The sequence below is a fragment of the Homo sapiens genome, chromosome 21 (genome assembly GCF_000001405.40).
Source record: "Homo sapiens chromosome 21, GRCh38.p14 Primary Assembly".
Lineage (NCBI taxonomy): Eukaryota > Metazoa > Chordata > Mammalia > Primates > Hominidae > Homo > Homo sapiens.
The window spans coordinates 9,115,790-9,130,140 of record NC_000021.9 but is presented as its reverse complement, the minus strand read 5'-3'; the positions used below and the strand labels follow the sequence as shown (position 1 = coordinate 9,130,140).

Genomic DNA, 14,351 nt, shown 5'->3' with positions numbered 1-14,351 from the left:
TTGCACTCCAGCCTGGGTGACAGAGCGAGACTCCATCTCAAAAAAAAAAAAAGTTACTCATTAACAGCATAGACCAATTGGTTTCTATTGGAATTTCTCCATTATTTTCACAATGTCCCAGGCTGTGAAACCAGGATTTAATAACGAACCAGAATGCCACATCTGTGTCACGTGGGTAGGGACCAGTCCTGATCCATTAACTCCGGGTCTCCGGGTAACTGGACTCACTGCTGGGCAAAACAGAATGTCCGGCGTGCGTTCCTAACGGGGGACCGCAGAGCCTCATAGGAAATGTAGTGTCACCTTCCAATGATGTTACCATCAAGGACCTTGGGAACCAGCTTTTCTCTCTGCGCATGCGCCGCCCCGCCCACTTCGCCATTTTCCTCCGGAAGTGCGGATCCCAGCGGCGGTCGTGTAGCTGAGCAGGCCTGGGGCTTGGTTCTATGTCCCTGTAGGTAGGTGCGAGGGCGAAGAGGAACCTGTGGGCCTCGGGGGATCCCGGGGGGCCAGACCAGTGTTCCCCATTTGTGGGGGCAGACGCGTGGGCGCATCGCGGGCAGGAGGGGCCTGACGTGCATTTGCGGGCCGTGGACCCTGGCGGGGGCTGGGAGGACAGACGTGGGGTCCCAGCAGTGAAGCGGGTTCCAGAGGCGCAGGAGTGGGTAGGCGAGGCTGGTGGCCCTGGGCCCGGAGTCTGCAGGCCGCGCTCCTGTCCTGCCACTGAGGGACCCGGTTACCAACCCTCATGTAGCTCAGTTTGCCCATCTGTCCCCGTGCTAACACACAGTTCTCGGGAGACGTTCCCCATTCCCAGAGTAGTAGTGCGAAATGCGTGTGCCTCTAGTCTCAAGCTGGGCGTTTGTATTAGTTGGGTTTCCTGGTGTCTATTTAACAAGTGAAGTTTCTGGTTCCCTCCTTCACTGTGTGACCTGCCTAGTCCTCCTGGATTGCATTTATGGAAGTTTATACGAGACCTAGTTTCCATGGAGGAACTCACTGATTCCGCGAGGGAGATGGGGTACTGGATGATGGTCTTCAGCCTTAAGGGTACTTCAGTCTTCACTGTGTGTTATAAAGTTTGAAAGGGAGGGTTCCCTATGAATAAGAAGCGCACTTGAAAGAACAGCCCTCTGGTCTAACTTCTCACTGGTGCTTCAGAGGAGGATAAAAGGTCGCAGGTGAAGATCCCAGTTTTCCTCGCTCAGGAAATATTAATTCTACTCCCTAGAATGCACAAGATTTTCAAAGACTAGGTGATAGTGGAAGGTTTGGAAGAACTTTCAGAAGGTTGAGGTGAATTCAGCTGAGAAGAACAGGCAAGGACCTAGGAAATATTCCTTATTTGAAGGGGCCTGAAAGTGTGGTCTGGGGTGCAGGAGTGACCTGTCATACTTGAAAAGATTGAAATACTCTCCAAATACAGTCCCATTCCTTCAAACTTAGCTTGTTGTTTCCAGTGTCTGAGATATATTAAACCTAGTCCATCACCAAATTTAGCATAGATTGTGAAGTTCTATTGATTGCATTTGATTTGTAATTTAAGACTTTCTCCCCCTACATAATTTCGTTAAAAACATATTGAATTCTATTCACTTAGGTGTAACAGTTAATATTTGCTGTTTAAGGAACTAATTAAACCTTACTAGCTTATAAAAAACAACCACCATTTTATTTGTTTGAAGTTCTGTGGATCTGCATTTTGGTGTGGTGGGTTCAGCTGGGTAGTTGATATATTTGTGTTGCCTGGATCACAAAACAGGCCTTAGTCACCTGGTGCCTTGACTGAGCCTGGTTGGTTTAAGATAGTTTCCTTCACAATCTGGTGGTTTGTGGTGACTCTTGGCTAGGCCCTGTGTCTCCAACAGGGTAGCTCCAGACCTCTTCACAATATGACTGTGTCCAAAAAGGCAAGAACCAATGGATATTTGCATCACATTTTCCATTGTCCATTCACTGGACAAGTCAGATGGAAAAGCCCAATTTATTGTCAGAGCATAATATGAGGGCTTGGATACAGGGAAAGGTGTTATTGGGAAACATGAGTAGAATGGTGTACTGCAGGAAATACATATTATGTACATTTTAAAAAACGTAGGCCAAAATTACTGGGTTGCAAGATGCACTTTCCATGATGTTCAGGTATAGAAAAGCAAGATGTACTGTCATGGGAATACTCATATGAAGTTATCTGTGGAATCCACATGTTAATAGGAAAATAGTTAATACAGCCCAGTATATTTCTATAACATTTATTTTAGTGAACTTATAATGTTTCTTTGTATTAAATTATTAGATTATATCTTTAGGTAATATTGTTACTAAATTAGTAGGTAATACATATTTTTATTCAAAAATAAATTGTGCATCTAATGTCTACCAATTAATGTACTTGTAGATGTATCTTATCTTAACTTGAGTCTCTGCTGCCCCTAATGAGGTGTGAAGGACTCTTCTCCCATGGGGAAGTTTTTCTTTTTCCGGAGGGAGGAGGGCTTTTCCAGGTAATGTGTCTAGAGTGTTGGGCAGAAGAATCTGGGACCACACCTCACCAGTTCTCTCCTTAATCGACGTCATTTGCCTTCTCTTCCAGCTATGTTTCCAGTGTCCTCTGGGTGTTTCCAAGAGCAACAAGAAACGAATAAATCTCTGGTGAGTTGTTTATTTGTTCTTCACTTTGTTTTACACTGTATTTTCTGAGTTTATGGGTGTCTGTGAATTAAAAAGGAAAAGTGGAAATAAGTAAAACTCAGGTTGAAGGAAATATACATAAATAAGATAAAGCTGACCTGTAGATATAGACAGGTTATAAAAGCTTAGAGTTGTCTAAGTTGAGTGCAAAGTTTCCTCTGATCTTTCTGATGCCGAAACAAAAAAGGCAGTCATGTTTCTTACGTGATTGGAATGGAACCCGAAAAGAGAGCATGCTGTGTTCTTGTGGGACAGGAAAGCTTGTGTGCACCAAGTCTTAACCACCACCTTCATTGGTGACATAGATTATGTGCTGGAACATATTTCACACCGGTCTGGCAGTAAGCACTTGTAGTGTTGTGCAGTGGAAACAGTCATCTTCCGCTAAGGCATGGCGTGTTGTGCAGTGGAAATGGTCATTTTCCGCTAAAGCATGGCGTGTTGTGCAGTGGAAATGGTCATCTGACGCTAAAGCACAGCATGTTGTACAGTGGAAATGGTCATCGTCTGCTAAAGCACGGCGTGTTGTGCAGTGGAAATGGTCATCTGCTGCTAAAGCACAGCTTCCATCATAAGGTATGCTCCTTGCTCAAAGAGTGTGGTCCCAAACAGCTTTTGGGAGGTCCTCCTTGACTCATGGATGAAACCCAGAACATCTTGAGGACTGAGTTAACCACAGGTCCTTAAATAACTCTCCACACATTTTTCTTAGTTTATCTCTACATGCAGGGTGTGCAGCAGCCTGTTCAAAGTCATATTTTCTGGGAAATATTTTCAGTGTTTATTTGCAATTTAGCCCACTCTGTGTAGTCTTAACTTATTTCTTCTAAACTCACCATTAACCTAAATAATAGTCAAATTTAGGGGGGCTGTATTTGTCTTACTCGAGTCTTCTACCATAGTTGAAACTGTTGTACCCAAACGAGTTAGAAATGCCACACTTTGAGACGAATTCAGGAGTCCTTTATTAGCTGGTGACTGAGAGATGGCTAACACAGGAAATACTCTCGGCCCTAAAGAATGGGCTAGATTTTCTTTTATACATTGGTTTAGAGAGGGGAGGGGGGATTCCAGCTGCAATAAACTTACAGAAGAAAAAACAGACAAAAAACTTAAAAAGACAGATGGTTACAGGAAAACAAACTGTTCCAGGTGCAGAGGCTTTAAATTCACCACAAAGTGATGAGTGAGGGGGCTCTGGGCATTATCTTCCAGACAAATGTGGGGGCTTTATGATATTATCTCTGAGTAATTTGCTGGGAACTGCGGACATCACTTGCCTCAGCACTTTATCAGTTAATTGCACTCTTTGATATGTTGAAAATCAGCTTGCACAAGTTAAAGTCCTTGAGGAAAGGGGGTGGGTAAGGAGCCCTTGATGTCTTGTAAATGAAGGAGCCAAATGGAGTTTGTCTGGTTTTCTCAGCTAAGGGAGAGTCTATTCATATTAAAAACAAGGTTAGCTATCTAAGGAAGAGTCTATTCATGTTAATACAACGTTGGGTATTACAAAACATCTGTTCATGATCTGGAAATTCTTCCGTGTTAGTTCTGTTAAAAGAAAAACTTTAAAGGAGTTTAATTGAGCAATAAACGATTCATGAATCGGAAAGTCCCCAGAATCACAGCAGATTCACAGAGACTCCAGCACAGTCATGTGGTGGAAGAAGATTTGTAGACAAAAGGGAAGTGGCATACCGAAATCGGAAGTGAGGTACAGAAACAACTCAGCGTTTGCCTTGTTTGAGCACAGTTTGAACATTTGGCAGTGCCTGAGTGGTTGAAGTTTGGCCATTGGGATTGGCCAAGATGTAGCTGTTGTTTGAGGTGCATACACTCAAGTTAGGTTTTCATTCTTGTTTACCTATTAAGATAGGTTGCAGGTCACCCACAAGGACTCATATATATAATTATGGAGTCCTTCTCAGGACATACTTAGTTCACTTTAACAATGCCTTCCCTTTGGTTATTTTCTCAATTTTGAGAGATTGGCCAAAACTTCAGTCACTGGTGTCACTATTACCCTTGCAAATGTACTTATTTGGTTTAGAAACCCACTGGGAAATAGAACAGTGAGATTTGAAAAGGTGGAACAAGGACTTGAGTAGAAGTTGTCTTCTTATGCTGGAACATCCTGTTTACAGGAGAAAAACAAAACCTGGTTTGTTCTAGGATTTATGTGTTTCCTTAAAGTCTTAGTTTGATTATGTTCCATTTAGCATGAGTGACTCCATTTTGGTTTGGTTTGTTCTGTTGGGACCTATTGCATGAGCTTAGTTCAAAACAATGGCCTCCCATAATTTTGCTTAAAAAATTCCTCCTTTTGGCTGGGCACGGTGGCTCATGCCTGTAATCCCAGCACTTTGGAAGGCCGAGGTGGGCAGATCACGAGATCAGGAGATTGAGACCATCCTTGCTAATACGGTGAAACCCCATCTCTACTAAATACACAAAAAAATAGCCAAGCATGCTGGCGGGTGCCTGTAGTCCCAGCTACTCAGGAGGCTGAGGCAGGAGAATGGCCTGAACCCGGGAGGCAGAGCTTGCAGTGAGCCGAGATCATGCCACTGCACTCCACTCTGGGGGACAGAGCAAGACTCTGTCTCAGAAAAAAAAAAATCCTCCTTTTCAGTCAAGTTCTCACTTAGTTGAGAGTGTGACCAAAATGTAGGGCCTTAGCCCCACTCTTAGTTACCATTGTTTTGGGTTTCCGGTTTAGCACATCACTCCCATTGTTTTGGGTAATGGTTTTAGCACGTCACTCCCATTGTTTTGGGTTCTGGTTTTAGCATGTTACTCCCATTGTTTTGGGTTTCTGGTTTAGCACGTCACTCCCATTGTTTTGGGTTCTGGTTTTAGTACATCACTCCCATTGTTTTGGGTTCCGGTTTTAGTACATCAGTCCCATTGTTTTGGGTTTCTGGTTTAGCATGTCACTCCCATTGTTTTGGGTTTCTGGTTTAGCATGTCACTCATAGGTTACGGTGTCCTTATGATTGCACATTTTTTTAATCTGTTGTCATTCCAGTTGAAGAGATACCATTTGACATTTTAGAGATGGCTGCATGCAAACTCTTAAAACATTTGAGTAAGTACAGTGCACCAGGGAGACTCTTATGACTATTGGGATAACACCAAGAATTTGGTATATGCTCCTTACTCAGGGTCCCCATAAATCAAACCACCTAAAATCAAATAGATTAAAGAATGAATTAGATAAAGAGTTTACTTGCTTAACTAAGTGGGTCTTTTTGTTAATTCCCTACAACCAAATCTTTATAATACCCGATGTTTTCTCCATATGCCATGTTAGCAGCTGCACAGATACTTAAGATAAGAGTCTCATGATAGTAGAGAAGTCTTGATCTGTGATCTTGGGAAAAGCTGTTCACATTAAGGATGCCATCTTCTTCTGGGGGGGAACTGTCCTTGTTAGCTTTACCTTAAGGGTTCCAAGGGGTGTATGGTTCCAAGTGTGGAGGGACCCTTCTGAGTTGTAAGACTATGAACCCAAAGTTTAAGGTTTTAAAGTTTTGCTGTCATGTGAATGGCAAGGGCAGTCCTCTGATGTTCTCAGAAGATCCAGTCATCAGATTCTAGATTGTGAAGGGGTTGGCTGTCCTCTGTGAACCATAAAAGGCTTTCTTTATCTGGTGAAAATACACTTCAGCATAATAATCTACTGTTTTAACATCAACCCTCTTGCATGGAAGAGCTTTTTTACAATCAGAAAACATGCACTGAAAATGACAACTGAATGAAATCCCTTTATAAAATGTTTAAATGGCCCATCAGGTAACCAAATGCACCTGAAGTTTTGATTGTTTTCCTAGGAATATAGGTTCGACATACCAAACATTGATTATAAACTATTTTAGCAATTTAGAGATCACCACAGCAATATATTTAATTTGGATCATTTTCTCTTTCCATGATGAGTTATGGAATGCAGAACTTTTAATAACAAAAGTTTTAAGGACTTAAGACGGAAAGGTGGCCATCCTGGTTATTCATAAGTCCGTGCTTAATTAACATTAGACTTACATCCTCTTGAATACCAGCTGTTTCTTCAAATTAGGTGCATGGCACTGGTAACTGATGAGTTATAGGTAATTTGGCTTAGACCATGGAGTTTATTTAAATTATATATCTAAACAATTTCAATATTGGTGATTTAGCATGCAAATCTGGAAAATATTTCCTTGATATTCAGTTTTTGTTTTACTTGGGTTAGCAGTTTTATAAACCAGTTGGTCTTCTTATTAAACTTTTGGATTTTTTTTTTTTTGAGACAGAGTCTCACTCTGTTACCTAGGTTGGAGCGCAGTGGCACAATCTTGGCTCACTGCAACCTCCGCCTCCTGGGTTCAAGTGATTCTCCTGCCTCAGCCTCCCGAGTAGCTGGGATTACAGATGCATACCACCACACCCGGCTAATTTTTGTAGTTTTAGTAGAGGTGGGGTTTCACCATTGGCCAGGCTGGTCTCAAACTCCTGACCTCAAGTGATCCACCGGCCTCAGCCTCCCAAAGTGCTGGGATTGCCAACATGAGCCACTGCACCCAGCCTAACTTTTGAGAATTCTTCACCAGTCCAATTATTGGGGGATCGGGGAACTTATGGGGAATTTTTACCCATGATATTAAAGTTATTAGAAACCTGTGTTCCCGAGTGTTTTTCATGGTCCTTTTCATTCTTTCATGAATCTTCTATTCTAGAATTTTGCATGCTTGTGAAGTTTTTAGAAACTGCATCATCATTAAGCAATTAACTGTGGAAATGACTTTAAATAGTTATAGTTAAAGACAATTGATAAGGAAATTTGGTTATTTCTGTGGTCTACAATAACTTAATAACCATAATTAGGGTGGATGTGGTGGCTCATTCCTGTAATCCCAGCTCTTTGAGAGGCCAAGTTAGGTGGATCACCTGAGGTCAGGAGTTTGAGACCAGCCTGGCCAACATGGTAAAACTCTGTCTTTACTAAAAATAAAAAAAATTAGCCGGATGTGGTGGCAGTTGTCTGTAATCCCAGCTACTTGGGAGGCTGAGGCAGGAGAAATGTTTGAACCCAGGAGGTGGAGGCTTCAGTGATCCTAGATCACACCATTGCACTCCAGCCTAGGTGACAAGAGCGAAACTCCGTCTCAAAACAAACAAAACAGGTAATTATGATAGATAGCATATAGGCATATTAGAATTTTAGAATCCTGGCCAGGTGCAGTGGCTCACGCCTGTAATCCCAGCACTTTGGGAGGCCAAGGTGGAAGGATCACGAGGTCAGGAGATGAGAACATCCTGGCTAACACGGTGAAACCCCATCTCTACTAAAAATACAAAAATTAGCTTGGCATGGTGGTGGATGCCTGTAGTCCCAGCTACTCGGGAGGCTGAAGCAGGAGAATGGCATGAACCCAGGAGGCGGAGGTTGCAGTGAGCCGAGATTGTGCCACTGTACTCCAGCCTGGGTGACAGAGCAAGACTCCGTCTCAGGGGAAAAAAAAAAAAGAATTTTAGAAATCCTATACAATTTTAGAACGGGTTGATGACATAAACTAAATATAACCTGAAAAAGGTTCAACATTATGTTTTATTTTGACAGTGCTACCCATGTGACTTAACATGTTAAATAGTCCTGTTTACCTCTCTTTTGGGTGCTTCAAGGGCCTCTGTAGTATCCCAAAGTTAGAGGTCAGAAAAGACAATTTTGAAGTTGAAATTTGATTTTGGGAAGCCTATTAAATATATTAAAAGTTTAAACACTTGATGTTATGAAATAGAATTCCAGGTCACCGTAAGTCATTCATTTACTTAAAATCATGACTTAAAAAAGTTTTAAAGGGCAAAAATCTTTACTCATTGATAGAGGGAAGACATCTTCACAAACGATCTGCCTCTTGTTTTTCCTTTTTTTTTTTTTTTGGTAGTTTATTTAAAAGGCAAACAAATTTTTCATTATTTTTTAATATTACCTGAACATCTTCTTTAAAGTGAGAAAGCCAAATGTCACCCACTTTTTCATAAAACCTCATAGACAAACCTATTATTCTTTCTTTTTTTTTTTTTTTCAGATGGATTTTCCCTCTTGTTGCCCAGGCTGGAGTGCAATGGTGTGATCTCGGTTCACTGCAACCCCCTGCCTCCCGGGTTCAAGCGATTCTCCTTCCCCAGCCTCCTGAGTAGCTGGGATTAGAGGCATGTGCCACCATGCCCAGCTAATTTTGTGTTTTTAGTAGAGATGGGGTTTTTCCTTGTTGGTCAGGCTGGCCCTGAACTCCTGACCTCAGGTGATCCACCTGCCTCAGCCTCCCCAAGTGTTGGGATTACAGGCATGAGCCACTCTACCTGGCCATTTTTTTTTTTAAAGATTGCGTCTTGCTCTGTCACCCTCCTCACCACATTATAGCTCTGGGGGCCAAGCTGCATCACAATGGAAAATCATGGAATCACAGGAAGAATCCTCTCAGCTTTGCAAGATGCTGCCCAAGGGGTTGCTTGGAGTAACCAAATTAACATTTTTCATTCTGCCCAGAGCAAAATACATGTGACAAAACATAGACACGTGCCACTTTGCTCAGCACCCAGTATCAAACTGGTAAGACTCAAACTTGCTCCCAGATGGGCGGTGCCATCTCTAAATCTTTTTAGAAGCTTCTGCATATTAATAGGCATCCCTAGATGAGACTAATTTGGGAACCCTCATTTTTAAATGCACTTCAGGGCATTATTCATTTGGAATGTTCCACTGTAAGTTATCTTAATAAGATTTTGCCATTTCTGTAAGACTTTGCTGCTTCCCAGGCCTAATGTATTAGCCAGAAGGAGCTTAGTTTTCCAGAAATTAAGGATCCTATTTTTACCTAAAATATTGGCTTTACTCCCAGGTTCCCTTCATTAACTTAGCCAATGATTTTTTTTTCCTGCCTAACCGTGCGAGAAAAATGAAACAAAGGGGTAGAACACAAAAATCCCTGTGAATTTTCAAAAGCCAAATGTTACAATCTTCCAATATTATCATTTACTACCACTTTCCTTCTGACCCAGTCAGATGTAGGAGGCCTCTAACTGGAACTGGATTCAAGCCAATTAACTACTGGATCAAATCTGATCCTGGACCCGGTCCGTTTTCTGTCATAACTTCTAAAACATCCAGCCAGTCATGGCTGGATAGCAGTTTGGAACAGAAATTTGCTCAAAGAAACTCAGAGCTCAAAACACAAATCCATGGAGCTCTGAAATCCGAGAGAAAATTTACCATGATCCCCAGCTGCTCAGAGAGATCAAAGGACACAAGTGTTACAGAATCCTGAGGTGTCACTTTTCTGCCTGAAACCTCTGGCTGGTGGCACCTTTACCTGTGTTTTGCTCGGGCCCACTGGGTTAGTTCTGTCCACTCAGCTCATGCTAGTGGTCTGGATCCCACACCTGCCAAGGGCGAGCTGGGTACAGAGCAGTGAGGGGTGTGTGAGCAAGCGAGCATGGGATCTGCCACTGCACACAGCCAAGCATGCCAGCTGCAGTGGGGTGGGCAGCTCCAGGCACAGGTGCCAGCTCCCTGTGAGGCTGCAGCTGGACCAGGCCGACTGCAAACAGCTTCCACTGTGGGTATCAGGGAATGCAGTGGCACCCAGAAGCTTGGAGATGCAGGACCTGCAGAGCCCCAAAGAAGGTGTCACAGCCCTGGTTGGAGGAGCTCCTAGGTGTGTGTTCCCTGAAGGGACACAGCTCTTCTCTCCTTCTCTCTTCTCTTCTTCTTGCCTGCAATTTGGCAAGAAAGGAGCGCGTTTCAGCCCTGTTTATGTTACACCTCTTTCAGCCCTGCTAGTTGGCAGGTCCCGAGTTCTTGTCCTGAGTCCAGGAAAAATGAGGTATGTGGACAAGTAGAAGGTGAGCAAGGTGAAGAGGTGCTTTATTGAGCCACAGTACGGCTCAGAGGAGACCTGCAGTGGGTAGCTCCTTTCTGCAGGCAGGTCATCCCAACGTCTGTTCAGCTCTCAGCAGCTGAGAGGAGACGCACGGTGGGTAGCTGTGCCCATAGTGCCCAGGCGTTCGAGCTGAGGAGGGCCTTCCGGCCACTGCTGAGCCACTCTTAGCCCCACCTCAGCCTCCCTCCTGTGCTTGCCAGTGCCCAAATTCTGGAGGGGGCCGAGGTGGCAGGGGGCTGGCATGTCAGCACTGCCCTGAGCTTGCGCAAACCAGGCCAGGTTGTGACTGTGCCCAGGTTTGGCCTCAACTTGGATCTGAATTTGGAGTGGGCTCTGGAAGCAGAGAGACGCCAGGTGGCAGGACCAGGTACAACTGAGCCTGCGGGGCAGGGGGGCTTGCTGGGCCTCTGAGAGTGCAGAGATGCCCGGGTTTGCAGTCATGGCTGGATGGCTGCAGCTGTGCCTGGGAGGGTGGGGCTCCTGCCTGATAATTTAGAAGGGGCAGGTCTCCCACCCATTCCTGGCTCCCACCAGCTTTGAGGAGTGCACAGCCCCAGCCACTCCTCCCCACTGCAGCCAGTGTCTCCATAGCAACTGCTCCACGTGGGCCACTGCTGCCATCACAAATGGGTCCTTTCAGGTTCCTTCCTTGTACCTCAGCACTCTGGGGGTCATTAGAAGTCTTAGCAACACTGCTCACCACAGTATAGCTCCAGAGGCCCTAGCAGTCCTGCTCCCACGGATCCCACTTCTGACACCATCTATTAAAAGAAAATCTTCAGCTGAATTAAATTTAAAGGAGCTTAATTGAGCAATGAATGATTCACGAATCAGGCAGCCCCCAGAATCACAGCAGATTCAGTGAGACTCCAGCACAGACACATGGTGGAAGATTTATAGACAATAAAGGGAACATGATGTACAAAAATCTGAAGTGAGGAGTGAGGTCTAGAAGCAACTGGGTCCATTACAGTTCTCAGCAGTGAGGTCCAGAAACAACTGGACTGGTTACAGTGCTCAGCATTTGCCTTATTTGAACACAGCTGAACACTCAGCAGTGTGTGAGTGGCAGAAGTTTGGCTGTTGGGATTGGCCAGGACTCAGCTACTGTTTTAGGCACATACTCCTAAGTTACGTTTTCAGTCTTTCTACCTATTAAGTTAGGTTGCAGTTTGTCCACAGGGACTCAAATCTAGAAGTACAGAGTCCTTCCCAGGCCATATTTAGTTCACTGTAACAGTTCCTATTATGACCTCACTGACAGTTCTTTTTCTCTGAATTCTCCTTTCTTCTCAACAGCTTATCCAAATGTTCCATTGGTCCCTGTTCATCTTGCCCTGCAGTTCTCCTTGACTGATTCAGCCCTTTGTGGTTTGCAGTCCTGTTTCTCTACAGCTTGGACCTCTTCAGTCTTTCCATCATAGGTTTAACTCTCTGTTGAATGCTTCTTTGTAGCTATCCAAATTTACCTTAAGCTCAAAAAATTCGAAGTGAAAGCCACATCCTCTTCTCTTCCTTATGTGTATGGCATTACTACCATGCAGCCAGTGACCCAAAATGGGATTTCTTCTGGGCTTTTCTTGCTTAGATTCAGGCTCATCTGGTGTCAAGCCTTGTTGCTTTTGTTTCCTTGTTCTTTTATTTTTATTTTTTTTTTTTTGAGACAGAGTTTCGCTCTTGTTGCCCAGGCTAGAGCGCAGTGGTGTGATCTCAGCTCACTGCACCCTCCACCTCCTGGGTTCAAGCAATTCTCCTGCCTCAGCTCCTGAGTAGCTGGTATTACAGGCATGTGCCACCACGCCCGGCTAATTTTGTATTTTTAGTAGAGATGGGGTTTCTCTGTTTTGATCAGGGTGTCTCGAACTCCCGACCTCAGGTGATCCGCCCGCCTCGGCCTCCCAAAGTGCTGGGATTACAGGCGTGAGCCACCGTGCCTGGCCTGCTTGTTTTCATCTCATCCTGATTTCCAAATACAGGAGAGAAGCTGAATTGGTGTTCACTAACAAGCACAGAAGCTTTGTCATATTTACAGTGTCATTCTTGGCAAAACCTGAAGGGTGTGTTCATGGGGTGATGAGGTTCAGTCACCTGTGATCTGTGCATCTGGCCAGCACTGTGGTGACATCCTTAGGAATCCATGGGGAGAGAGAAAGCATTCAGGACTTAGTGGGTCACGTTTGACAAGGGCCAATAAAGAAATATGCAAAGACAAAAAACAAGAAGAACATTGTCATATTTTCTACCTTTTGTTTATATAAGTTTATATCAATGATTTTAGCTTATGTTAATATGCAATGTATATAATATGCTAACATTTACAATATATGTTTATAGTTTAAACATTTCTGTCATATTTTCAGATTCTTTAAAGATTATATTACACTTCCTATTTCAGATAGCTGCTTAAAATGAGTAAGGAAAAACGGATGTGTGCATCAGTTCCAACTGTTTATGGACTAAAACTAGTTGATTTCTTGGTTAAAAACAAAAAGTGACAACCTAATTAACTGAAAATTTTAAGTGGGCAATTATAGTTTTAGCTTTCACGTAAAATATTAACTATTCTCCAATCTTGCATTTTTAACCTAATACTCAATATAAATCGCCACATGCCATGTTTCAGATCAAGGTTTTACTTGGGATCTCTCATGAGTTTTTCAAGGTTTTAATTATCTGCAATGTAACAATGTACCAGTAACCTTACTGGCTTAAACCAGGAATTTATTCTTTTCACATGTCACAATTTTCTGGGTCAAGACACTGGACAGGGCAATGTGGGTTGGCTGCTTCATGATGTCCCTGGTCTCATCTGGAAGGACTCTAGTGGCTGGGGACGTGAAGCAGACACCAGAAGGACTCTAGTGGCTGGGGACATGGAGCAGGCACCAAGCCCTCTCTTTGTGGCCAGCACGGACTTCCTCCCAGTCTGGCAGTGTCAGGTAGTCAGGTTTGTCTGGCTTCTCCCAGTGTATGTGTCCAAGAGGCCCAGGCAGAAGCTGTAAGGTCTCTCATGATCATCCCTCAGAAGTCCCAGAGCATCTCTCCTGCCACACTGTCCAGTCGTACTCATCACTGAGACCAGCCATGATTCAAGGGGGGAAGGTGATTAGATTCCACCTCTTGATGAGAAGCATAGTAGGAACCTGCAGCAGTCTTTAATAAACCACAGTTTGTCCTCTGGCCACAAACTACTAACGTTTCTCCCACATGCAAATTATGCTTTGCCCCTCTCAAGAGTCCCAGAATGGTTTTCCTTATGGCACTGGCTGGTAGCCCAACTGAATCCTGAATCAGGTTGTGGTGGCCTGTCACCTGCACCCACACACACTCAGCCGCAGTGAGTACTGAATCAAGTTGTGGTGGCCTGTCATCTGCCCCCCCACACACAGCCACAGTGAGGACTGAATCAGGTTGTGGTGGCCTGTCGTCTGCCCCTGACGCACTCAGCCACAGTGAGGACTGAATCAGGTTGTTGTGACCTATCATCTGTGCCCACACACTCAGCCGCAGTGAGGGGACTGGTGTGAAAACAGTCGGCATTTCCCTTTAGAAGCTGTTGGTGGGAGGCAGGAGGGAGGTGCTGCCCTGCAGGCCCCGTCTAACAGTTGGTCATTCCCATGGGGCGCCTGTTACAGTTCTGTGATTAGTGCCCAGTCCAGGTCCCTGAGAACGGCGCCCAGTCCTTGTCCCTGAGAACGGCGTTTGTGTCCTTTTACTCCTCCCTCTGGGCTTTTG

At 44.3% G+C, this 14,351-nt stretch overlaps 1 pseudogene across 3 annotated transcripts in view; it reads left to right on the top strand.

The window, feature by feature from the left end:
- Nucleotides 1-379: 379 nt before the first annotated feature.
- TEKT4P2 (tektin 4 pseudogene 2) overlaps nucleotides 380-14,351 on the top strand; it is a 61,406-nt pseudogene continuing 47,434 nt past the window's right edge. For all 3 annotated transcript variants that reach the window (NR_038328.2, NR_038327.2, NR_038329.2), the window contains exons 1-2: nucleotides 380-458; nucleotides 2,594-2,652. The product of NR_038328.2 is annotated as a tektin 4 pseudogene 2, transcript variant 2 (transcript). The remainder of the gene's footprint in view (nucleotides 459-2,593; nucleotides 2,653-14,351) is intronic.